Source organism: Homo sapiens, chromosome 9 (assembly GCF_000001405.40).
Source record: "Homo sapiens chromosome 9, GRCh38.p14 Primary Assembly".
Taxonomy (NCBI): domain Eukaryota; kingdom Metazoa; phylum Chordata; class Mammalia; order Primates; family Hominidae; genus Homo; species Homo sapiens.
In genome coordinates, this window is record NC_000009.12 from 109,879,745 (window position 1) to 109,905,439 (window position 25,695).

General features: G+C 43.0%; 1 protein-coding gene across 14 annotated transcripts in view, besides 1 other annotated feature; it reads left to right on the forward strand.

Annotated features, from left to right (window-relative positions):
- Window positions 1-25,695, forward strand: part of PALM2AKAP2 (PALM2 and AKAP2 fusion) — a 531,726-nt gene that overhangs the window by 238,958 nt on the left and 267,073 nt on the right. For all 14 annotated transcript variants that reach the window (NM_001037293.3, XM_047423410.1, XM_047423411.1 and 11 more), the window contains one exon: window positions 807-937. In NM_001037293.3, the coding sequence (NP_001032370.1) occupies window positions 807-937 (131 nt within the window). The remainder of the gene's footprint in view (window positions 1-806; window positions 938-25,695) is intronic.
- Window positions 13,795-13,954: an enhancer, noted in NCBI's record as "active region_28766". NCBI's record gives its function as "activates an Ori minimal core promoter by ATAC-STARR-seq in GM12878 lymphoblastoid cells {active_cell/tissue: GM12878}" and the evidence as "EXISTENCE:reporter gene assay evidence [ECO:0000049][PMID:35858748]".

The window sequence follows — 25,695 nt, forward strand, 5'->3', positions numbered from 1 at the left end:
GGAGTGCAGTGGCACGGTCACAGCTCGCTGCAGCCTTGACCTACCTGGCTCAAGCGATCCTCCCACCTCAGCCTTCCCAAGTAGCTGGGACTACAGGCGTGCACCACCACACCCAGCTAATTGTTTAATTTTTTGTAGAGACAAGGTCTCACTATGTTGCCCAAGCTGGTCTACAACTCCTGGAATCAAGCAATCCTCCTGCCTCAGCCTCCCAAAGTGTTGGGATTACAGACATCAGCCACGGTGCCCATCTAGGGGCATATGATTTTTATAACATTTGGAGATTATTACTGAAGATGATTGGGAGTCATTAAAGAAGGGAGTCATTGAAGAAGAGTCTTGACAATCTTTTTAAAACACTTTAATATGGACCAGATATTAGGTGGTCTTAGGAAGTTTTTTAATTAAATTACAGTTGCATAGAAAAATGTTCTTAATTTTTAGAGACTCATACTGACATATTGTTGGGTAAAATATGGTTGTTATTTAGTTTAAAATCATTTGATGAGAAACATATGGGAAAATATGGCAAAATGTTCATAATTGTTAAATCTAGATGAGGTTACATGGTCATTCATTATACAGTTCTATTTTTAAATTTTTTTAATAATAGAAAATGATATAGAGATAAATCTCCTTGGGTGTTGATCTAGAGGGAAGTAGGGAGCCATGTTAGTGAGGAGGTGAAGGCAGCGATTCAGGCAGCGCTGGTGAGGGGTGGAGCTAAAACAGCACCACTGCAGAGGGAGAGGACAGTGTGGACTGAAAAGTATCATCTTGTCTGTTGTCTTCCCTCACTTCCACAGTCCAAAGTGCTTCGGGAGAAATGGCTGCTGCAGGGCATACCCGCTGGAACTGCCGAAGAGGAGGAAGCCAGGAGGCGGCAGTCTGAAGAGGATGAGTTCAGAGTCAAGCAACTTGAAGATAACATTCAGAGGTAGGTGGCTTCCAGCCCAGGGAACCCATGCTACAGTTTTTCAGTGCAGTAACCACTGCTCTCCTCTAGGTGGCCTTTCTCAATACTGTTACCTTCTCCTGTACTTGAGAATTTTCTTCCTAAACAAAGCACATTGATGTTGTTTAAACTTTTCCAGATGACCCAGAGTTATGACACAGAGTACTAATAATTTTTTATTTTTATTTTTAACTTTTATTTTAAGTTTAGGGGTACAAATACAGGTTTGTTACATAGGTAAACTTGTATCGTGGGGATTTGTTGAACAGATTATTTCACCACCCAGGTATTAAGCCTAGTACCCGTTAGTTATTTTTCCTGATTCTCTCCCTCCTCCCTCCCTTCACCCTCCAAAAGGCCCCAGTGTGTGTTGTTCCCTTCTACGTGTCCGTGTGTTCCATCATTAGTTCTCACTTATAAATGAGAACATGCAGTATTTGGTTTTCTGTTCCTGTGTTAGTTTGGTAAGGATAATGGCCTCCACCTCTATCCATGTCCCTACAAAGGACATGATCTCATCCTTTTTTGTGGCTGCAAAGAGTACTAATTATTGCACTGGGCTGTAATACAGCACAGTGATGGCTTCATGGGCCCACAAGGTGTTGTGAGCAGCTTGCCCCTTCACTAGGTGCTCCCTTTGAGTTCTTATATTAGCTTTCATCTTTTTCCTCCTTCGGGTCAGGTTGTTAGCTGTTATTGCTGCTGTAGTGAGTCTGTTTTCAAATTTGCTGTATTTGGTCAATTCGAAATGTGAAAACTGTAGTCAACAGTCTTGGGATTGAAATGAAGAGTGTGGAAGTGCTGAGTGAGAGCACCTCTGTAGGTTATGTGCCCGTGCTCTAAAAATTAACTTTGTATTGTCTGCTTTCACTGCTCAGAGAGTGGTTTCTTTATGGTTCTCAACCAGGATCTGATCACTTCAATCTGGGAGATAAGCGACCTGTCTGTGGGCAATAACTGGCCAGGCTCACACAAGAGCAATAATGTAGGTTTTTACTTGGGAGCTATAGCCACTCCAGGTCCCAGGACACCTAGCCAGAGAGATATGAGATAGGGATGGAAGGTGGTAAGCATAGATGCCTTAGAACCAAATCTGTCCCTCCAACCCATCCCACCAAATTCTACCTGAAATCTCACCACCTGGAGCTTCATCTCTGTCTTCTGAGCTTATGAGCTCTTTTTTTTTTTTTTTTTTTTTTTTTTTAGATGGAGTCTCGCTCTGTCACTAGGCTGGAGTACAGTGGCACAATCTTGGCTCACTGCAACCTCCGCCTCCCGGGTTCAAGCGATTCTCCTGCCTCAGCCTCCCGAGTAGCTGGGACTACAGGCGTGCACCAACCACGCCCAGCTAATTTTTGTATTTTTAGTAGAGATGGGGTTTCACCATGTTGGCCAGGATAGTCTTGATCTCTTGACCTTGTGATCCACCCGCCTTGGCCTCCCAAAGTGCTGGAATTACAGACATGAACCACCGCACCTGGCATGAGCTCTTTTAAAATAAAGGGTAATAGCTAAGCTGCTACCAGCCATTTATAACCAACAGCAAATTAAGACTCTGAGGGCACCTGTAATAGTGTCACTAAAGGGAAAAGCAAGCCAAGTAAATCCCAAAGGCATACGTCAGCCTATGTCCCTACTTTGCTTAGGTCCTCACATGTCTTAAAGAGCTTTCAGAGCAGCTTGGCTAAACATTGTGAAGGAAACTGGCCAAGAAAAAGTTTGGAGGGTTTGTGTGTACATATACATATGTATACTCACACACACCCGTGTACATGCACATGCTTTTTCTTAGAATACAAAGGATAAAGGCTAAACTGTTACCAACCATTTATATCATATACATATATATATAGAGAGAGAGTAGGTGTTATTATAGACAGAAGGCAGAAAGGATTTGGAAAATAGGATAAAATTAGTTACATGACCTTTTCTATTTTTCTTTTTGTTTCTTTTTTTTTTAAGAGATGAGATCTCACTCTGCTGTCCAGGCTGGACTGCAGTGGTGCGATCATAGCTCACTGCAGCGTCAAACTTCTGGACTTAAGCTATCCTCCGACCTCAGCCTCTCAAATAGCTGGGAATAAAAGTTCATGCCACTGTGCCTAGCATTATTATTATTTTTTTTTTTTGGTAGAGAAAGAGTCTCACTATGTTGCTTAGGCTGGTCTTGAACTGCTGGCTTCATGTGATTCTTCCCACTCAGTCTCCCAAAGTGTTGGGATTACAGGTGTGAACCACCGTGTCCGTCCTATTCTGTTTTTCTTAAGTGTCACTGGGAAACATGGTCTTCCAATCAAATTGGCAGTTTAACCTTGGCTTGAATGCAAATATGTTGTTATTATGGTCCAATAGGTGGTAACTCGCACTTGTAGAATGAGCCATTGCGTGTGGAGGCTAGAGTCTTAAACTGAGACTCAGTTTCTGGGTAAATTGACCATTGGAAGGAGGTGTTGTGGGTTAGGGGCTGGTTTATTATTCAGGTGGTCATGATTATACTCAAAGAAAAGTTGTTAAAGTTCTTTTTATCCTTTACGTCCTTTACGTCAATGGAATAAAGAGCACACTCAATGTATGCAGGCAGTCTCACCCATTTAGAGCTAGAATCCCAAGCCAGAGGAAGGAAATCACAATAGCCTACAGGGGTGGATGGTGAGGCCTGGATTCAGGGGCCATTTCTTGTGTCTTAGTCATGACTTTGGGCCAAATGGGCACTGGATGTGTGCTGAGATGAGCTGTGCTCCCTGGAGCTGCTTTCTGTAGGAGCAGGACTGTGGTGAGCATCGTTTCCTCTGCAGGGCCTTCTGAGGGAGGAGTTTCTTCTACCCTGGAAGTCAGCTTCTGCTTCTCTTCATCTTGCTGGCATCTTCTCTACCACAATGGTTATTAGTGTCTTTAATCTTCAATCCCATGGGAAGAAAGAGCTGTTATCTCTCTTCCCATAAAGGACACTCAGTCACCTAAGACATTTCTCTGTAGTTGAACATAGCTTAGTTCTCACTCACAGAATGACATTTGAATAGTTCTAAAGGCTCATTGCAAACATGAGCACCCTACGGTGTTACAAAGTCCCTGTGGATTGGCTGGCATGGCTCTGCTGATAGGGCTGAGCTCACCTACGTGACTCTAATCTGCGTGTTGCCTGAGTCCACTCTTGTTTACCCTGCACTAACAGGCTAACCATGATGCTGTCTCTTTCTGGCAATGGGAGAGGTACAAGAGGGCTGAGCAGAAACAAGGCCTAGGCTCAGACTGCCCACAAGCCATCTGCCAAACCAAGTCAATGAGCAAGCCCAAAACCAAGGGAAGAGACAGCCAGCCAACTTTTAGTGGAAGGAACACAGATCAGGGAAGGGTGAAGAATGGGGATGAATAATTCAGTTTTCCAGGAGCATGATTGTTGAATTGAAAACTGCAAGCATTCAGGAAAATGGACCGGCATTAGGGAAACTACAGAAAAGACATTTAAAAAGAAAGAGGACTGGCTGGGCACAGTGGCTCATGCCTGTAATCCCAGCACTTAGGGAGACCGAGGCAGGTGGATCACCCGAGGTCAGGAGTTCAAGACCAGCCTGCTCAACATGGCAAAACCCCATCTCTACTAAAAATACAAAAATTAGATGAGTGTGGTGATGGTCGCCTGCAATCCCAGCTACTTGGGAGGTTGAGGCACGAGAATCGCTTGAACCCGGGAAGCGGAGGTTGCAGTGAGCTGAGATCATGCCACTGCACTCCAGCCTGGCAACAGAGTGAGACTACATTTCAAAGAATAAAAATAAAAATAAAGAGGACTAACTAAAACAATGCAAGAATGCAGAGAGAAAGGAAGAAGAGAGTAAGAGAGAATATGAGTGACTTCAAGATCAAATTTGCGATCTGATCTTTATATAATAGGAATCTTGAAAACTATAAGATCAGATGCAGAACCATTAAATAAAGGCATTTTAAGGGAAATCTTCATTACTCAAGGCAAAACATTAATCTGTAGATCTTTAGATTTGGGCCCCCTAGTCTAAGTCACCCCCAGCAATCAATTAGATTCTCCTAAAGAGATACATAAACTGGTTGCAAACTATAAAGTATATTAGTACAGTTGTGCCCTGAAGGTATTTTCGTCCTTGTTGTTGAACTAAGAATAGCTTGAAGACACTGAAGGAGGAATAGAGAATAGTAACCAAAGAACAAGGAACATTTCTACAAAGAAAGACTAAGGGAAATTGGGCCATTTAGTTTAGATAACAAAAGGATAATGGTATCATAACTCAGAACTTCAAGTGTATGTAGGATCTAGGCCATGTCTTAATTCTTTATGTGCAGGCCATTTTGAATATGGCAAAGACTTCAAATAAAGCATGCAAATTTCTACTTAGATGTCTATTTCCCTAGATACCTCCTAGAAGAAAGAACATAATCACCTTTTAATTCTTATTCTGTGATTCTTTACAGTGCCAGTAACTGTACAAGAAGTTCCAGGTTTACAGACATGTTTTTTTCCAAAATGTTATTTATAAATTGGTGGTGGTTTGGAAGGGCGAATGTTGTTCCTCTGCCAGAATTATTATATGTGGTGCTTAGCTTTTGAGGGCAGCCCACGAAGAAGGAAGGAATGGAGGAAGGAAGGATGGAAAAATGTAACTAGAATATTAAACCCTGGGCATTAGAATCACTTGGGAAGGTTTTTAAAAATAAGAATTACCAGGCCTCATTCTAGGAAATTTGGATTTAGTGATCCAAGTAAGGAGTCCTGTAATCTGTTTTTTAAAAGGGTGTTCCAGATAATTCTGTTGTATGGTCAGGTTCAAGAATGATTGCAGTAAATGGAAAAAAGGATAGACCATAAATGAAATCCCATTTTAATACCTAGAAACCCCCCAAGGAGAGTGGGAAGTAAATCATGTTTATAAGAAAACTGGCTTCACACACAAGGATAAAGGACAACCCAACCCTTGATTCAGACTGTTTCTGAGCCTTCCTACTTTGACCCAAGGATATGTGAAACCTGCTTTGGGGATTCCTGTAGGTGAGAGTAGCTCTGGCTTAGAGCTGAAGTCTCTCCTCCATAGGCCCCACAGTAGAGCTAAGCTTTCATTTGAAGTGGATTAGAAACAGCCTTGGTTTACCAGGCTAAAGATGATCCAGGTCAGGAAAACTGTGTGCTTTACCAAAGGCCAGAAAATTCTACCATTCTTCCAAGATTTCTTGCTAAAATTCAAAGTAATGTGGTCTTGAAGGGGTGACACCAAAGCAGCTGCAAAGGAAGAGGAAAACCCGGCTGCCACAGTGGAGAAATAGATTGTCATTCTTTTGCACAGCTTTTCCCTGGGTAATGTCAGGATTATATTTTTGGCTCCCTGGAAACCAGAATTAAAATAGGCTAAATAAGATTGGAATTGTTGAAAGCAAAATCTGTAGACGTTTCCTTTTTTGAATTTTTTGAATGTCCACATCTTCTGTATGCTTTGCTTCTTTTTGGAGTGACGTATTGAGAAAGCCCAAGAGATTGTTTCTGGCTTGGGCCCATTGCCAGCCATTGTCCGTGCCATTATTGTGTGTGGTGGGTCCCTGGAGGCCACATGTGGACCTCGGGTTGATACTTTCGGAGATTGTAGGTAGTTCGAGCCACACTAGCCCTGTTTACTTCATGTCTGCCCCAAGCATCAAGTCTTGTTGTTTACCTTGTCACTTTCCCACTTAAGATTCTCTTTCATTTCACTGGGTTTTACTAAAGTGTTTGAAATACAGGGTTTTTAACTTCCTTTGATTAGTGAGAAATATGGGGAAAATTTATCTCCCAACCTTATCAGTTGGGGGCAGACCAACCCCAGTGAAGATGAGAAACTTCATGGAGTATTAAATGAAAATGGGATGAGCTGTCACAAAGCCAGGATGTTAATTCTAGCTCTGCTGATCATTTGCTGTGTGACCTTGGGCAAGTCTTTTGCTCTCTTCAGTCTCAGTTTCCTCATATCTTCAGTGAGCCATCTCTCGGGATCTTCCAGCTCTGGTATTCTGAGTTTCTCTAATTTGAGGAGTTGGTTAGAGATCTCTTTTCTCAACAGTGTACCTGTTCCGAGAAATGTTACTGTTATAGAAGGAAGTGGTTTTGGAAACGGGTCAGAGTGGAGGAAAGAGGTTGAGTTCTCAAAAAACTAAAGGCTAGGTATAAGTAACTGATTCATCACAGAGATGACTAATTCATCAGAACAGCTGTCTGTTCTAAAATATGTCACATCAAATATTCATTGAATAAAATATTGAAGTCTCAACTGCTAACCTAGAGAGAGCCAAGCAGCTTTTAAAAAATCAGGATAGAAGTGTACTTTTCATTTCCACATTGGACCTGTGATTCTCTGAGTACCTGTGTGGGTCTCTGGTAAATACCAGAATTCACTTAATTTTCCATATTGTTAGGAGGCTCAAAGCCAAAGGCGTAGAGACATTAGGCATAAGCATATGTATCTTATTAAGCATCTGTATGTTATGTTGTGGGGTTTGGCAACCAAGAAGATGACAGTTACTTACAACTGTTCTAGAAAAGGCAACCACTGAAACATTCATTGAAATCACAAAGGACACTTGCTTGAGATTCATTGTGTTCTTCACATTTGCTATTTTTAACTCCATGATTCACTGTTCTTTTGAGCAGGGAGGGGAACACTCCACAGTGGCATTCCACATCTGTGCACTTCCAGCCGGGGTCCCCACCCCACGTTCAGCCACATTTGCAGCCCAATTATTGTTTCCATTCTTTTGTTTCCTTCCAAAATAAAACTATATATGCTATGTATACAGTAAACTATATAGTAGTGTCTCTATATTGTGTAATATTTCCTGTTTTGTCACTCCCTTCTGGGTAGCGGCCTAGCTTTTCTGCCTCCATTTAATTCATTAATTTTCTAATTTAAGCCTTGTAATACTCCCATGAGGTAGTGATGATGATGATGATGATGAAGAGAGAAGAGAAGCACAGGAGGTGAAGTAACTTGCTGCCCCCCCCTAAAAAAATTCAATGGAAGGACATACAAGATGAATGAAAAATAATTTTAAAAAAGTGAAAGAGCAAGTATTTGAACTCAACTCTGCCTAATTCTAAAGCATGTTCTCAAAAATCCCAACAGAAGTTGTTATTTTAAGCTAAATTTTTTTGAGACCTCTGATATTGAGTGAAATTACACTAACGTGCACCTCGTGATGTAGGAGGAGGGACAGGTAATGTGATTCTCCCTCCTCAACCTCCACACATGCTTCTTCAGAAGGCGGTGCATCAGACGCACCATGACTCTGGAGGTGCCGGTCTTCAGCCTATTGTGGGTGGTCATCATGATGGTGAGACTGCCCCCTTCAGGTTCTTTCATGAAGTGCAGGTTTCATTTTGGGCTTGGCTCCTTTCTGTCTCTTTTGGAAGCCCTTTGTTCCTGATTGCACTTTCTAGCCTGTGTACAGTCTAAACCTCTGCGGGAAACAGTGTGTGCTTCTGAAAAGGGCTCCAGCATAGCAAACTCACTAGAAAGCCGGACCTCAGAGCTTGACCAAACTTGGCTGGAGTCCTAGTTCTGTATTTACAAGTTGTTTGATCTTGGACAAGCCATGTAAACTCTCTGGACTTAAGTGTCCTCGCCTGTACATTGGGGAAAACTATACCCACCTTGCAGTGCTGTTGTAATGTGTAGAGGTCAGGTGTGTTTGTGAAGTGCCAAGAACAGCAGGTTGTCAGTAAGAATAGTGCTGTTGGCTGGGCACTGTGGCTCATGCCTGTAATCCCAGCACTTTGGGAGGCTGAGACAGATGGATCACCTGAGGTCAGGAGTCCGAGACCAGCCTGGCCAACATGGTGAAACCTCTTCTCTACTAAAAATACAAAAAATTAGCCAGGCGTGGTTGCAGGCGCTTGTAATCCCAGCTACTCAGGAGGCTGAGGCAGGAAAATCACTTGAACCCAGGAGGCGGAGGTTGCAGTGAGCCGAGATCGCACCATTGCACTCCAGCCTGGGCATCAAGAGCAAAATTTTGCCTCCAAAAAAAAAAAAAAAAAAAAAGAATAGTGCTGTTCTTATTGTTGTTTCTTCCATCCCCCTACAGCAGAGTTTCTTAACAGCTGTGCTATTGACATTTAGGGCTGGATAGTTATTTGTTGTGAGTGGCTGTCTTGAGTATTGCAAGATGTTTAGTAGCATCCCTGGCCTCTACCTAGTGGCTTCCAGGGGCACCATTGCCCTTTCCCAGTCATGATAATAAAACATGTCTCCAGACATTGCTGAATGTTGCCTTGGGGGACAAAATCTCTCCAAGTTGAGAACTACTGCTCAAAAGCCTGGCATTATGTGTATTGATACTAAGATGAGAATCTCACCACCGAGTAGTTCCAGAATACAGAACCCTAAAAAGATTTATGAAGATAACATTAGTGATTCTCAGTGCAAAATGACAAAGTGTTTCAGTTACTTGAAAATAAAAGGCTTCTCTTATGCACTGAGCCATGAAAGTCTGTTCAGAGTTAAAAAGAAATAGTTGCTTTTTTGGTTTTTGCATTCAGTATTGTGCTGCTTTTGCAAAGGCAATAATTTTATGACAGTTCATAAAACCATGGAATCTTAGAGTATGCATAACTGACATGTTATGCGGATCAACTCCTATCTGATTCTTGAATTTGCAATGAACGTAATGAGTGGGAGTGAAAAAACAGTCTCTCCCCAAAGCCTGAAAGTGACAGGAAACTCATTTACTTGCAAAATAAAACCCAAGTATATACTGGAACAACTCTAATTATTACAGAGGATCCTCCTTTGGGATGAAAGTTTTGTTCCCTGCAGCTCCTACCCTCTCTCTGGTCCCTGCCCTATCCTCCAAGGACCACACAGAAAAAGCCCTCTTCACTGACTGAAAAAATCTAGATGCTTAGGGTTTGTGGTCAGCTTTGCAAGCTGGCACAGGTAAGGGAGGAAACACTCTGAAATTGCAGTGCAGCATTTCAACATTTCATGTGTGTTACTTAGCAACAATAGCAGGAGGCCTGCCAGATGTACCAGAGTCATCGTGCCTCGCTCAGGTTTTGTAGGATCCATTATAATCATCTCATTATTGGTCTGGCAAATTGGGTTTATAGTGCCCAGAACTATGAAAATAGTAGTTGAATTTCTTCCATACACTGAGGCCATGTAAGAGCCATATTTGGGAAATACATGCATTTCCCAGCCCTCAGAACAATTGCTGCAATGGAAGGAATTCTGCAAAGTCAACTTTTTTGGTAGCCAGTTCCAGGCTTTTTGGCCTATGATTGCCACACCCCAAGTTTTCTCTCTACAAAAAGCTTTGATAATAGTCTTTTTCCAATTTTAGGTCACCTTGCATAGCCCCTCTGGCTTGTAACGTGGTCATTTCCAACCGTTCTACATTCTTGATGAAATGAAAACAGCAAGCTTCCTGTTGACATACTCTTCCACAGTTTTCATGAATTATGCATTTTGAAGGCAGCAGACAAGATGGTGTCTCAGTCCTTTCCAGCGATTCTCCAGCATGGAGGTCTTATTTGGTACATCCATCACAAGGGCCCGGAGCCAAGATGATCTCTTGAGCACAATCCCCACTTCGTGTTTCCCCTTTTCACTGTGTAGGCCACAGGGAAGAGTACTGTGGGACCCGAGGCTGCTTGATACTCATCAAGGCCCGCTTCCTCCAGCCTTCCTAGCTTCTCTTTCCCTCAGGTCTAGGCGTGGAGCCCTCCAGGACAGCGAACGGGTGATAAAATATACAAACTGTCTCTGATTATGGGATTTTGGCTCCTTAGCCAATGCATGCAAGGATGGTAGAAAAAACACTCATCTTCCTTCTACTATCCTAAAAGCAACTTCCGACATCAAGAATTTTTTTGGATCTCTCATCCAAAGGTATAAACCTTAACAGTGGGAAATTCAGACCAGGTGAGAGGAAAGGGTTACACACTAAGAGATGACTTAGGTTTGGGTAGTTTCATCAGGAGAGGTCTGCCTGCATCCTGGTTCCTGTCCTTGTTTTGGGAAACTCTTTTTAGCATACTTGGAGTACATATTCAGTTAAACTTGCAAAGTGAAGAATCAGAGAATGGAGGCCTAAATGTGATTCACCTGAGGCCACACGCAGAGTGAGGAGATACCAGTGTGCTTCCTGCAGAAGCATCTCCCACATCTCTGCCAAGCCTTTTTATCTCCTTTGAAACAGAATCTCTAATGGAATAAACCACTCCAGGGATCCTAGAGTCTTGTGTTTGTTCCTCCTATGCAGAAAGGCAAAGGAAAAAATTAAATAATATCTGAATACCGCCCAGTGCACAGAGAGTACCTGTGAAATTACAGGGACATTCAGCCAGCAAAGAATGTCCCCCTGGCCAGGGTGCCTGGAGGAAGGCTTTTAAGCATTACCATGCTGTACAGCATGGGGCTGCCAGCTTGACCAGATTCTAGCTGGAAGGATCAGGCATCTTTAAAGACCGGTAGCATTCAGGGCCATTGCTGGGCCACATGGCTCCTTTGTGCAATTAGAAAATGCAGTTCCACAGGGTAGGCAGCACTTAGAAAGCCACTGGCTGGACTTCACCTCCCTTTGTTCCCTTGGCTAGCATCTTGGGCAACAACATTCTGTACAAGCATGCACCATGGCCCTGCTGGCTTCTTGGTCTCCACGTGCCTCCTTCTTGTTGGTCATTAAGGTTATGCCATTTTCCCCCATTATTAAGTAATGTCAGGTAAGGTCTGAGGAGATGGAGATGAAGACTTTTACAGGTCGCAGGGGAACACTGACATGTCACTCATCATTTTGTGTGTGTGTGTGTGTGAGACAGAGTCTCACTCACTCTGTAGCCAGGCTGGAGTGCATTGGCAGAATCTCAGCTCACTGCAACCTCCCATCTCCTGGATTCAAGCGATTCTCTCCTGTCTCAGCCTCCTGAATAATTGGGATTACAGGCACCCGCCACCATGCCAGGCTGATGTTTGTATTTTTCGTAATGATGGGGTTCCACCATGTTAGCCAGGCTGGCTTTGAACTCCTGACCTCAAGCGATCTGCTCACCTTGGCCTCCCAAAGTGCTGGGATTACAGGTGTGAATCCCCGTGCCTGGCCATCACCCATCAATTTTTAAATGGTGGAGTAGCTCCCATGATGGATGTTATGAAAGGGTCTATGGGTGCATATGAAAGGGAGTGGTCATTACTACTCAGTCCAGGTAAAACTCCCTGGATGGAGGGTGAAGACAATGTGGTTTGAGTTGTTAGGTAAATGTTTCCTTATCATTTTTCATTATATGTTACATTTACATTCTGTTCATCCCTAAGATATAACTCCTTAAGATTACATCTCTCAGATGTAAACTCCACCAGAGTAAGGACTGTCTTGGTTACCTACTGTGTTCATTTCCTGAGACTGATGTAACAAATTTCTACACGTTCGTGGCTTAAAACAGCTCCAGAGGCCAGAAGTCCAAAATCAAGATACTGGCAGGGCTGTGCTTTCCCCAGAGCATCTAGAGGCAAATCCTTCCTTGCCTCTCTCAGCTTAGTGGGTCCAGACATTCCTTGGCTTGTGGCTGTGTCGCTCTAATCTCTGCCTTTGTCTTCACATGGGCTTCTCCTCTTGTCTCTGTGTCTTCTCCTTTGTCTCTCATAAAGACCCCTATCATTGGATTTAGGGCCCTCCTAAATAATTCAGGATAATCTCTTCTCAAGATCCTTAAATTAATTACATCTACACAGACCCTTTTATCCACATAAGGTCATATTCATAGGTTCTGGGGGTTAGGGTGTGGACATATCTTTCTAGGGCCATCATTCAGTGTACTATATCTGAGTGCCTAGATTACTGTTTTACACCTAGGAGGTTGCTCAATAAATAGTTTTCAATTTAATTTATATGTTTCAGCCTTAGTTTATCCATAAGCTTGCCATGAGGTTCAGAAACCATCATTTATATCCAGAGATGGTATAAGGCAGTGGTTAGGGGCATGAACATCCGCGTAATACTTGCTGGGTTCAAGTTCAGAATCTCTGCTTGCTGCCTGTATAATTTGAGGCAAGTTCTTTAGCTTCTCTCTACTTCAGTTTCTTCTTCTATAAAAAGAAATAATAATAATAATAAAGATCAACTTTATTGGGGAGGGGTGACTATTAAGTCAAGATATGCAAAGAGTACCCAGAACTGTCTTGGACTTTGTGCCCAATAGGTTTTGGCTTTTATTATAAAAATAAAAGAATGATATGACAATGTACAATATATAAACAATCTCAAATTGTTTGATTTTATCAGACTCCCTCTCCACTTTCAGAAACAGCTGAGAGGGCTGTCACTGCACTGAGATTAGCATGGCATTCCAGAACTCGGGCCCGGTAAGCATCCAGGTCCAAGGGTGCCTTGGAGGGGTACACCTCACCTTTGCAGTCCAGGGCAGAGGAAGGCAGGGAGGCTAGGAGTGCAGCACTGAGAGAGCAGTGGCCACTGCCTTACAAGGCCAAGAAGCGTCCCATCTCCCCAACAACTGTCAGGTTCCTTCCTGCCCTGGGAACAGCTCTAATCTGTCTGTTTACCACCTACCTGCCAGCCTTCAGCAGGAATTCCAGGACTGCTGGGCCTATCAGCTGAAGTAGAGGATGAAAAAGAACAAATCCAAAGGCAGAAGAAATAGGACAATATGATAGATGGATTTGACAAGAATCCAGACCAATTGTGGGCAGACCAAGTTGAAAAGCGTGAGAGGCTAGAGTTATCTCAGCAGGGGTTTCGTTTTGTTTTGTTTTGTTTTTGAGACAGTCTCACTCTGTCGCCCAGGCTGAAATGCATTGGTGTGATCTTAGCTCACTGCAACCTCTGCCTCCTGGGTTCAAGTGATTCTCTCGTGCCTTAGCCTCCAGAGTAGCTGGGATTACAGTTGTGTGCCACCACACCCAGCTAATTTTTGTATTAACACCGTAGAGATGGGGTTTCACCGTGTTGGCCAGGGTAGTTTTGAACTCCTGAGCTCAAGTGATCCATCTACCTCAGCCTCCCAAAGTGCTGGGATTACAGGCATGAGGACTGTACCCAACCATCTCAGCAGTTATTTTAAAAAATGTTTAGCCTTCTGATGAGAACACGTGGACACGTGGTGCGGACAACAAACACTGGGGCCAGTCGAGGGGGCTGCGGGGAGAGAGATCATCAGGAAGAGTAGCTAACACTTAGGTGGTGGGTTGATCTGTGCAGCAAGCCACCATGGTACATGTTCATCTCTGTAACAAACCTGCACATCCTGCACGTGTACCCCAGACTTTAAAATAAAAGTTGAAGGAAAAAAGTTCACTTTTCTGCTTTCCAGTTGCTTATTTAAAAAAAAAAAAAAAAAAAAAGAAGCATCTGGCTGGGTGTGGTGGCTCATGCCTGTAATCCCAGCACTTCGGGAGGCCGAGGCAGGTGGATCACCTGAGGTCAGGAGTTTGAGCCCAGCCTGGTCAACATGATGAAACCCCGTCTCTACTAAAAATACAAAAAATTAGCTGGGCATGGTGGCGGGCACCTATAATCCCAGCTATTCGGAAGGCTGAGGCAGGGAGAACTGCTTGAACCCAGGAGGCAGAGGTTGCAGTCAGCCAAGATCGCACCATTGCACTCCAGCCTGGGCAACAGAGCGAGACTCCATCTCAAAAAACAAACAAACAAACAAAAATGCATCTAAGTTGTCTGAGTGATGTCCTGCTCAAGTCCATAAGGGACTTGCTTTATTACAGAAAAGTGGCCAAACCCAGTAATATTGAAAGTATGGTCCAGGGACTGCTTCTGGTCAGGCAACTGTTTATTACCAGTCTGTGACAAAGACAGAAATTGCCAGTAAGGTGTTTAGAAACTTTAATAGCAATATGATATCCCAATGGGTGATCAATGGACCCATCTTACTGAATAGGGTAGAGACAAGTTTGAGTGTCGTTGCACTCACGTGGTGAGCTGCATGTGTCGTGGGCTGAGTGCTAGTATTGGTCTGTGATGGATTGGGATCAGACCCTTGTCCATGACCATAAAATCTTGAGCAATATTGCAGCAAGCCAAATGGCAAAGATGACTATGTGCCCCAAGACCACACTTTTTTTTCCTATAGTTTTTTTAAGAGAGACACGGCCTCGCTCTGTTGCCCAGGCTGGTCTTGAACTCCTAGGCTCAAGCAATCCTCCCATCTCGGCTTCCCAGAGTGCTGGGATTACAAGCATAAGCCACTGTGCCAAGCCTCCCTAAATGTTTAAATCTTGTCATTGCCACCATTCTGCAAGATTTACCTTTGAATCTAGAAAAGAACTTGGAGTCTTTCTACTAGGCCTATCCCCACACCACTTCCCATCATAGAGGTGAAGAACCTGAGGCCGGGACACACCACAGGACTCTCAGAATGACACAGCCAGTCAGATTTTCCTGGCACAAAACCCAGTGTTCTTTCAAAGCCACCATTCTTTTCCTGTAACTAATGCAAAAGCAAATCTTAGCCCATGACAGGGAATCACAGATTCCAAATGAGTGCCCTCAGAATGACTGGTTTCCTTGAAAGCAGCTGTTTCATAAACATGACTTTGCGGGGGCAGCTCAGGCCTTCCATGCAGTGGAGTCTGCTGGTCTTGGGGCTGCTCTGTTAAGCAAAGGATGGGAACCAAAGGTACTGACATTTTAATATTAGCCACACAGATGTCTTGGCTTGTAATCTGGAGAAAATCAGTCAGTGTCCCAGCTGAATCTGTAAATAGGAACGACAATAAGATTTGCTCTCTCTCGGGACATCCTAAGAATTTTTGTCAGGCTAGAAGAGGCAGCCTGGAGAGATTTGTTTGATCTGGGAAAGCAGAAGTCAAACTTGGTTTTTCATTCGGTAAGATCCACTGTGGTTAAAATGTGGTCAGAGGGCTCATTCAGCCTCCTACTTCAGGTCGAACTATACTTACCTTCTCTTACTTTTAAAGAAGGAAGGGAGATTCTGTAAATGAGTGGCTTTTCTTTTAGTCAGTGCTGTCATATGCCATGACAATATTGTATTTAAGTCTGTTCTCACAGTGCTAATAAAGACATACCTGAGACTGGGTAATTTATAATGGAAGGAGGTTTAATTGACTCACAGTTTAGCATGGCTGGGGAGGTTTCAGGAAACTTACAATCATGGCAGAAGGGGAAGCAAACACATCCTTCTTTACATGGCAGCAGCAAGGAGAAGCGCTGAGCATAAGGGGGGAAAATCTCCTTGTGATTCATGCCTGTAATCCCAGCACTTTAGGAGGTTGAGTTGGGTGGATCGCTTGAGGTCAGGAGTTTGAGACCAGCTTGGCCAACATGGTGAAACCCCGTCTCTACTAAAAATACAAAAAATTAGCTGGGCATGGTGGCAGGCACCTGTAATCCCAGCTACTTGGGAGGCTGAGGCAGGAGAACTGCTCGAACCTGGGAGGCGGAAGTTGCAGTGAGCCGAGATCACACCATTGCACTCCAGCCTGGGCAACAAGAGTGAAACTCCGTCTCAAAAAGAAAAAGAAAAAGAAAAAGAAACCATTAGATCTCATGAGAACTCACTATCACGAGAACAGTATGAGGGTAACCACTCCCATGATTCAATTACCTCCCCACCAGGTCCCTCCCATGACACATGGGGATTATGGGAACTATAATTCAAGATGAGATTTGGATGGGGACACAACGAAACCATATCAAATATTAATAGAGTCTGGCAGGGAGGAAGCATGACTTCATACTGGTGGTGAGTCAGAAGGGGCATCTTCATATTTTAAGGAAGGTGGCACTTAGATTCCAAGTGCGTCCTGTGTGCAGTGGAGTCATATGCAGCTCTAATAAAGAACATTATTCAGGCCAGGCATAGTGGCTCATGCCTGTAGTCCCAGTTTGTTGGCAGCCTGAGGCGTGAAGATTGCTTGAGCCCAGGAGTTCAAGACCAGCCTGGGCAACATAGTGAGACCTCATCTCTACAAAAAATACAAAAATTAGCCAAGCATGGTGGTACATGCCTGTCGTCCCAGCTACTCGGGAGGCTGAGGCGGGAGGATCACTTAAGTCCAGGAGTTTGAGTCTGCAGTGAGCTATGATCATGCCAGTGCACTCCAGCCTGGACAACAGAGCGAGGCCCTGTCTCCAAAAAATAATTAATTATTTAATTTAAATGTTCGAAAGAACATTATGCAGATGCTTCTCAGGCTTCTCTTCAGATGGCAAAATCTCACTGGTTTTCAAATATCCTAACTGAAATGTTCAGTTCCAGCTATCTTTTGCTTCATCCAGTAATTAGTTTCAAGTTTTTTTTTGCCTCTTTTTAGATATGAATCCCATGCTAGGTAACAAATTATAGTGACAGGAAAATGTGGATTTTTCCATAAAGTTTAAATATTCACCACTCAACCTTTTAGCAGAAAGCTCTGGGACCAACCTAGCATAAGTATAGAGTTGAGGGTTAAGAGTAAGCATTCTTCCCTTCGTCACTTATGTGGCCTTGAACCAATTAGTTAAGATTTTGTGCCTCATTTTCCTCATCTGCAAAATGGAAATAATCATAAGGTATACTTTGGGGATTAGTGTGAGGGGCAAATGAGTTAACATGTATAAATTGCTTAAAATAGTATTTGGCAGCCAGGCTTGGTGGCTCATGCCTGTAATACCAGCACTTTGGGAGGCTGAGGCAGGTGGATCACGAGTTCTGGAGTTCAAGACCAGCCTGGCTAAGATGGTGAAACCCCATCTCTACTAAAAATACAAAAATTAGCCGGGCATGGTGGCGGGTGCCTGTAATCCCAGCTACTCGGGAGGCTGAGACAGAGAATTGCGTGAACCCCGGAGGCAGAGGTTGCAGTGAGCCAAGATTGCATCACTGCACTCCAGCCTGGGCAACAGAGGGAGACTCCATCTCAAAAAGAAAAAAAAAATAGTATTTGACAATGACGATAGCTGCTGTTATTATCATGACCCAAATGCTATATTTGCTTCAAGCAAATGGAATGATTCTCAGACCAAATTTTTTCACCAGGCATTTATTAGAAGGAGGTTTCATGTAATTCTGAATTATGCTCCGAATCATATTCACTTCATTCAATATGAAAAGCAAGTATAGATTTACAGTTTAATTGTTTTGAGACAGGGCAGGATTCCTAATCACATTTTTAGAAATGACTTTTGTGTCTCATATTGTTCATCTCCTCTATCCTCTCACCAAGATTCCACTGTGTTTCATACCAGCTTGTTCAGTTGAACAAGGTGGAGAAGCCCATTTACTGTTTGGATTAAATTTTTTTATCACCAGTGTATGAGGATTTGCATTAAATAAATTATAGGTAATTACATTAACAAACCAAGAAGACTTACAGTTAAAGAGGGCAAAAATATAATTTACTTAACTGCTCTATGAAATCTATTTGTGGATTTCTCTCTTCTCAAAGGAGAATTAATCAGAGAACAACTTTGTTGTTATTGTTGTTGTTGTCGTTTAAGAAAAAAAAGAAAGAATGAATGAAAGATCACATAGTAGCAGTGGTACCCTATTCACCTTGCAACAGTTGTACTCTGCGCACCTGCCCCAGGTTATAGCAACATCAAGGTCAAGCTCCCAATATTTCAAGTACAAATAAGACTTCACCTGTGCACAAACATGTGCTTACACACTTCCATCCTCCTGAATTTTCTTTCCAGACTGTTTTACAGATAAGGAAGCAGCTCTCAAAAGACCTCTCTCAGACATTTGAAAACACATTTTTTTTCAGAGTGCTAAATTCATGCTTCTTATTTTATATATGTTAGAAATAAACACATAAATAATAAACAGTCTTGCCTGGACTGGTTCATGTTCAATTCATAGGCACTGAGTATTCTTTATTAGGACATACTCACTATTGTTTGTTGAATTATTGCACTTTTAAGAAATCAATCTGAAGATTAAACATTAGGAGTCTCGATAAAAAACAAGTCTCTATACTTTATGAAGATCTTAGGAATTTCTAACTGACTTTGGAACAGCCATTTGTTAAAAAACACTTTCCCATCCCAAACTCCACTGACTCCATTTTTCTTCTGCACTAACTCTCCCTTCCTCCTCCCCCATATTTGGAGCAGCGTCTCTATGTCCCATTCACTCTCCTACACCTGCCAAATCACCAGTGACTATTTAGGGGCTAAGTGCAAAGGAGACTTCTAAATCCTCACTTTCATCAACTGTTGAGCAGCAACGGAAGCTGCTGAATGCTCCCTATTTCTTCTTGAAACACACTCTCTCCTTGTTTACTTGAGATGACACTATCCTTCCTCTGTCCATCTGGGAAATATTGGTGCTTTGAGGTTCTTGACTTGGGGCTCCTTTCTTCACTTCTCCCATTCTCTGAGTGACATTGTCTGTTCCCATGGCTTCTGAAATATAGGCATTCTTTGATCTAATTTTTTCTCCAGACCTACCCATATAGCCAACTGCCCCCTAACCATATCCATTTGGATCCCCCCAGACACCTATAACTCAGCATGCTAAAAATTCATTAGTCATTACTTTCTCTGATTGATTCCTTTTCATTGATTCTTAATCTCATTGAAAAACATCACCATGCACCCAGTTGCCCAAGTCTGAAATCAGGACATTGTCCTTGCTTCTTTTCACCCTTTCAAATCCTCTATCTAATCAGTAATTTTATATAATAAAAGGATTCTTGATTCCTTCTACACTTTTTCTTTCCCACTTCCATGACAGTAGTCCAGGCCACCATTATCTTTCATGGGGATTGATGCAAGAGCTTCTCACCTAGTCTCCCTTCCCCTAGTGTTGTGTCCTTCTGACCTAACCTCTGCCACCCAGCAGAAGTATCTTTCAAAGTTCATATTTGATGATGCTACTCTCCAGCTTCAAACCCTTTACCTGTTTTCCTTGGACTATAAGATAAAGTTCAACTTCCTTAATTTAGCTTAGAGAGTCTTTTATGATGTGACCTCCTCTTACTTCTCTGGCCTTGTCTCTCATAATTGTGTCATTCCATTGCTGACCACTCCAGCAACTACCTGCCATTCCTTGGATGTACCAAGCTCTGTCTGTGTCCCGTTCTTTGGATCTACTGTCCCTTCTCCAAGGAACGTTCTTCAGCTGCTCTTTATGTGGTTAACTCCTACTGAACCATCAAGTCTCAGCTGAGATACCACTTTCCCTGAGCCCTAAACCCTGGTTTAATGTTTCCTGTGGGCATATTTACCTTAGAGCTTACTGTGTCATAGTACATTGGAAGCTGATTTTTTTCTCTATCCTCCTCTAGCCTCAGCTGCCTAGGGGTAAACACACTACAGTGTTCACCCTTGTATTCTCAGATCTTAGTACACTGCCAGGCTCAATGGGTTTTCAAACATATTTACATAAAGAAAGAAAACAATGACAAAAGTGCAGATGACATGCCCATGGATACTCTGGACATAAATGCTTGTAATATTTCTCTCTGTAAGCGTTTCCAGTGGGAAGTTCAGCTTTTGTCTCAATTACTCTGATTGGCATGCAATCATGACAAGAAACTAAAGGAAGGAGATTGTTTTCTTGACATTTACTGAGAAGTATAGACAAGTACTGCCATGAACAAACATTCTTGCTAACAATTCTTGCTCTAAATTGGTTGATATAACATCCACTTGAGTCAAAATGATTAAGTAGGTATCCATTGAGTGTCATGCATCGCAATGGCAAAGCATTGGAGTTACAGAAAATAAGTAAAATCATCTCCCTTGCTCTTACAGATCTGACAGTCTAGGCACCCAATAGATGGGTAAACAAGTACTGAGAGATGTCATACTTGTCCTCAAGATAGTAGAAATTCAAGAAAGTAGTGACCATGGAGGACCTTAGGATTTGGGCTTTTACCCCAGTGGTGTTTGGCTGAGTTAATCTTTCTAAAATGTATTCATCATTCAATCAAGTGCTTCTTCTGGAGGCCAAGCATAATTAGAGATACAGAGATGAAAATGACAGTCATTACCCTCACAAGACCTATAATCTACCCAATAATAATGGGAGGCAAGCCTTTAGAGTTTTTTAATTTGGAGTTTTCAGAGATTTCCTGAAGCTTCTGGACTGACGTTTCTATTGTACTTGAGTCCCATCATTTGACATTAGAAGATCTCCTTCCAAGAAATATTTCTTACCACCAAAAGACAGTTAACTTTGACTTCAGACAGAACATTCTGGTCTGCACCCAGAACCTTTAATACCTGAATCTTTTAAATCAGTGATGGTCTCTTCTTCTAAAAAGTAAAAGGTAAATCAAATTCAGTATGTCTCAATTAATTGGAAGGGAGTTTCAAGCTCATAGGAAATGAACTACGAAGCCATGTTGGGATATGAACTGAATGGTTGCTATTGAGATGGAGCAAATGTACCTGGATATCATTAGGTGGAACCAGACTGGAAAATGGGGGTCCTTCCTTGACCTCAGTGAAGATTTGGCCCTTTCAGCCTCAAGTAGTATCCCAGCTCCAGAACTGGACCTGAGTTACTGGATAATGCTGTCATTAGGAAACTGTGACCACCTAGGAGTTGGACTGCTAAATGGGCAATGTCAGCAGGTTGTTACAGATACTCTATGCAGACCAAGCTTATTTGGCTCTTCTCAGCTCAGCCACCTGTTGTAAACAGCTGAGAGGGGCTTAGCTCCACGTGGAGGTTGTCACTATCTCTGGTATGTTGTCTCTCCCTGGGAACGGACATGAGTGTGGAAACAGGGAGGACACAGTTGATTCCTGCTTTCACTGAGTCACTCTGTCCATTAGGAGAAACAGTCCAGGCATGGCCAGCCAAAGGGAGGTTCTTCGCAGGATCTTCTGTCTCTTTGAAGATGGGATAATCTCAGGCCTAACCACAGAAGCAGTTCTGGAGAAGAGTCAGAATAGCAGATTGGAAACAGCTCACAGGGGCCTCTGAATGCTAAGTGGAGGGACTTAGAATTTATCCCAGAGGCCACAGAACACTATTAGAAGTTTCAGAGGTATAATAAAGGCCGTTGTGAGGTTAGGATGCTGGTTCAATGTCACAATTAGAGCAAGGCAGGAGGTAGAGAAGTCAAGGGCAGACTGGGAACCAGCTGGGCAGGCCACTCATTTTGGTTGAATTTGGCAAGACTGAGGAAGACAATCTACCAATAGAGGATGGATGAGAACACCAGAAAGCAAATAAAACAAGTCATTCAAAAATCCCAAGATCATCGTGGCTGGGCCAGAGAAAGAATCAGACAGAAGCAGCGCACGGCTCTGGAGAGTTGCAGGGAGAAGCATTGCTGCATCCGCTGTCTCCTTTTCTTTTTCTTTTTTTAAATATCAGCAATATCTTGGATCTGAATAGAGTTCTATCACAGATTAGGGTTTCTCTTTCCCCAGGGTTCCCAAAGACTGAGCAGGATCTTATTACAGATGCAGCGAAAAGGGTACGTTTTTCAGTATCAGACTGACCTCATCTGAATCTCAGCCTCACATCTCATTAACTACATGGGACCTTGGGCAAGCTACTTCACCCATCTGCAAAGTGGGAATCAATGATATGTATCTCATTTGGCTGTTGTAAATCTTAATCAAGTTAATATATGTAAAGTGTCTCATCAGTGCCTAGCGCATAGTGAGTTCCCAGCTTCTATAGCACCCTTTCATCTTTCTCTCCTTACAGCATCAGAGAGCTTGTCCTCTGTGGCTCCCGTTTCTCTCTGGCCAGAGGCAGAGCCTCCATGGGAGCATGGGAGGGATATAATCAGAACAGCAGCATTCTTTCATTATGACGTCAATTCAGCCATCCCTCAATTTACTGAGCCCCTGAAAGGCCATACAGTGAGCCATCATTGTAATGAAGTAAAAGTAGCTGGATACTCCAGGAAGCCCTTCTAGTGGCACTTTGTTAGGTGAGATGTGTCAGCATTGACTTCTTTTGTAAGTGCTACTTCTGTTGAATTCAATGCGTTGAAAGGTGGAATGCATTGATGAATGTATTCAGTGCCTTGGCCACTTCTCAGTTAGCTTTTAGAGTAGAGGACCTCATGGCCACATGACAGAGTCTAACTGTCAGTTTCCAGACATTTACTGTGCCCTTGGCCCTGCTTGGACTTTGGAAATCCAAAGATACATATGACCGACGCCTGCTCTGGGAGGAATTCCCTGTCCATGTGGAACACATCTATGCCCTTCTGGTCCAAGTGAGAAGAGAACATGAAGGAGCAAGTGTGCATGCCCATAAGTGCCGGTCCCTACTCAGTTCTCACTCAGTCCCACAGATACCCAGGTCTACTTTATGTAGGTCCTTGTGTTGGTTTCTGGCATTGCTGAGATGACAGAGGCCCCAGTCTCTGGAGCCTCAGAGATTTCATGGACACCTTTTTCTGCTTGAGCTCATGAGCCAGATATCACTCCTGGCCCAGGTCACTGGGTTACCAGATGCACGGGTGAAAGAGCTGCTCTTGAGCAAAGGGCCTGGGACACACATGCCGGAGAAGCATGGTGAGCCAGCCGCAGGGAGGAAGAGCACTTTGCAGGAGCATGCTGTGCGGGGTCTTGCTGCTGCTTTTCAGAAGCAGGAGAGCCATGAGCCTTGGGGTTCACATCAGCACCGAGACTGGCCTTTGGTGGCAGGGAGGATATGCGTACCGGGAGGGGTTGGCCATACTGGACCACAGGGCCACTGGTTGGGTTGTTCATAATTGATCTTTGGGGACACTTACTGCAACCCATTTATTAGGTGCCCCCTCTAAAGTGATGATCTCAATGAAGATGGTTCACATAGGCCCACTACTTCTAGAAGGCCCGAATCCCTGGACCTTCCCAACCACTTTTTCTCCCTGTTCCTGGGTTACATGGCTTAGCTGGATATTTTTGCACACAGCATTAAGGGCAAGTGCACTGTTCCTTTGAAAACAACAAGGGAACAAGGAGTTCAGTGTTGTGGACATTTAATGAACTTTCTCCTCCTAAGTACACAATACCAAATCAGCAGAATCACAGCTGTCTCCTCCCAGCTTTACCTAAATTCCCACATGTGCTACCTCAGTTAGGGAACTATGACTTCACCTGCCACTAGATGGCCCTCCATGTGCACATAAGCCGCTCCCACATAGCGAACTTGCATCAGATTTTCTGGATTTTTTTTTTTTTTTTTACATGTAGACACACATGTGCATACACAATCTTAACTTTTACCATCCTTGAAGCCAATAATCAACACTTTAGTTTTCCTTCTGGCATTCAAATGATAGAATGTATTCTCATTCTCTGGAAAATCAGTTTAACATCAGAATCTACAGATATTCCTGAATATTGTGGGCCACAAAGCACATATTAAGATGAATTTGAATTTATTCTATTAAATAGTATGCTTTGGTTTATCTTATAAATGCTGTATTTAACAGACTTGTTTCTAAATTAAATTTTTTTAAAGCACTGGAAGAGAAAGGAAGCACAAACATTTGAATAGTACTTGCTCCATGGAGGCGGGCAGTGTTCTGAGGTATTTTAAACATTAGCTCATTTAAGCTTCATAACTTTGATGTAGGTATTCCATATGCATCATTATAACCATTTTATAGATTGAGGAGAAAATCAGATTGCAGCATGAAAGGTGTTTAGATTCCCTTTTGCCTTCCTGTCAATTTTCTTACCTATAACATGGGAATAAAATAATCCCTAATTGCTGTGAAAGGATGTTGTAAACTCTAAAGCATTACACAAATGTTGTTATTATTATTATGACTTGGGTTTCATGGGAATATAATTTTCTTATGTGCTCAGGAGGCTTGTGATCATTCATTCATTCACATGAAAACATTTATGCAGGTCCCAGGTCATTGCCTCTGCATGAGACGTCTCATACCGAGATGCCTGTACTATTTCTAAAACAAATCTAGTCTGTCTTGAACTCTCTTATAGCTGAGGGTTCCAGGGAAGTTGCTGTGTGCTTTCAGCAGGTAATTCTCCCTTAGTCTCAGGATTTAGAAATGATGGATGTGGTAGGACAACTTCAGGGGTGGGACCTCTGCTGAACACAGAGGTGGCCGGTGCTGATTTCACATAAGCCAAGCCAGCGGGAAGAGGCAGGCTGTTTTTTAAAATTATTATTCTGGAGCACGATGTACTATCTCTGTATCCAAGAGTTCACATTTCAAGTGGACTATCAGATCATCTCTGTGACAGAGGGCTTTAATTAAAAGCATAAGTCTCTGGGTGGATTTTAAGTGGCATTGTTTTTCTTTGGACGTTATGCAAGCCACTTCTGTGCTGTAAAAGGGCTTTTAAAATTTGGCTTAAGGAAATTTGCTTTACCCCTCAGGCTTTGATCCCTGCGTGTGAATCATTTTGTATCTGGAGGTTCCAATTTGCAGTCTCCTGGGTGTAAGGAAAATTCTACCCTCACAGAACATTTTGGATTTGAAAACTGAGAAATCTGCATCATTCTCGACATAATAGCTGTTGTAAAATAGAATTAGGGCTGTTAAGTCTATAGGGATAAAGTTCACCAAAGAATATTTTAAACTTTAGTTTTAGTTCCTAAAGTTTTTGTCTCCAACTCCCATAATAAATGTACTGGGACAGTGACCTACCCACTCAACACCTGAAGCTCAGTGTTCTCTGCACTCAGGCCAGGTGGACTCAGCCATCGAGGCCATTGTCCCTGTCCAGCCTCCCAGGGGGCACGCATGAGCCAGGGCCAGGATACAGATACTTCTGCCTCAACACCATCTGTACCACCAGAAAAGGGCCCCAAAGGCCCTTCTCACTGCCATTTGTAAGGC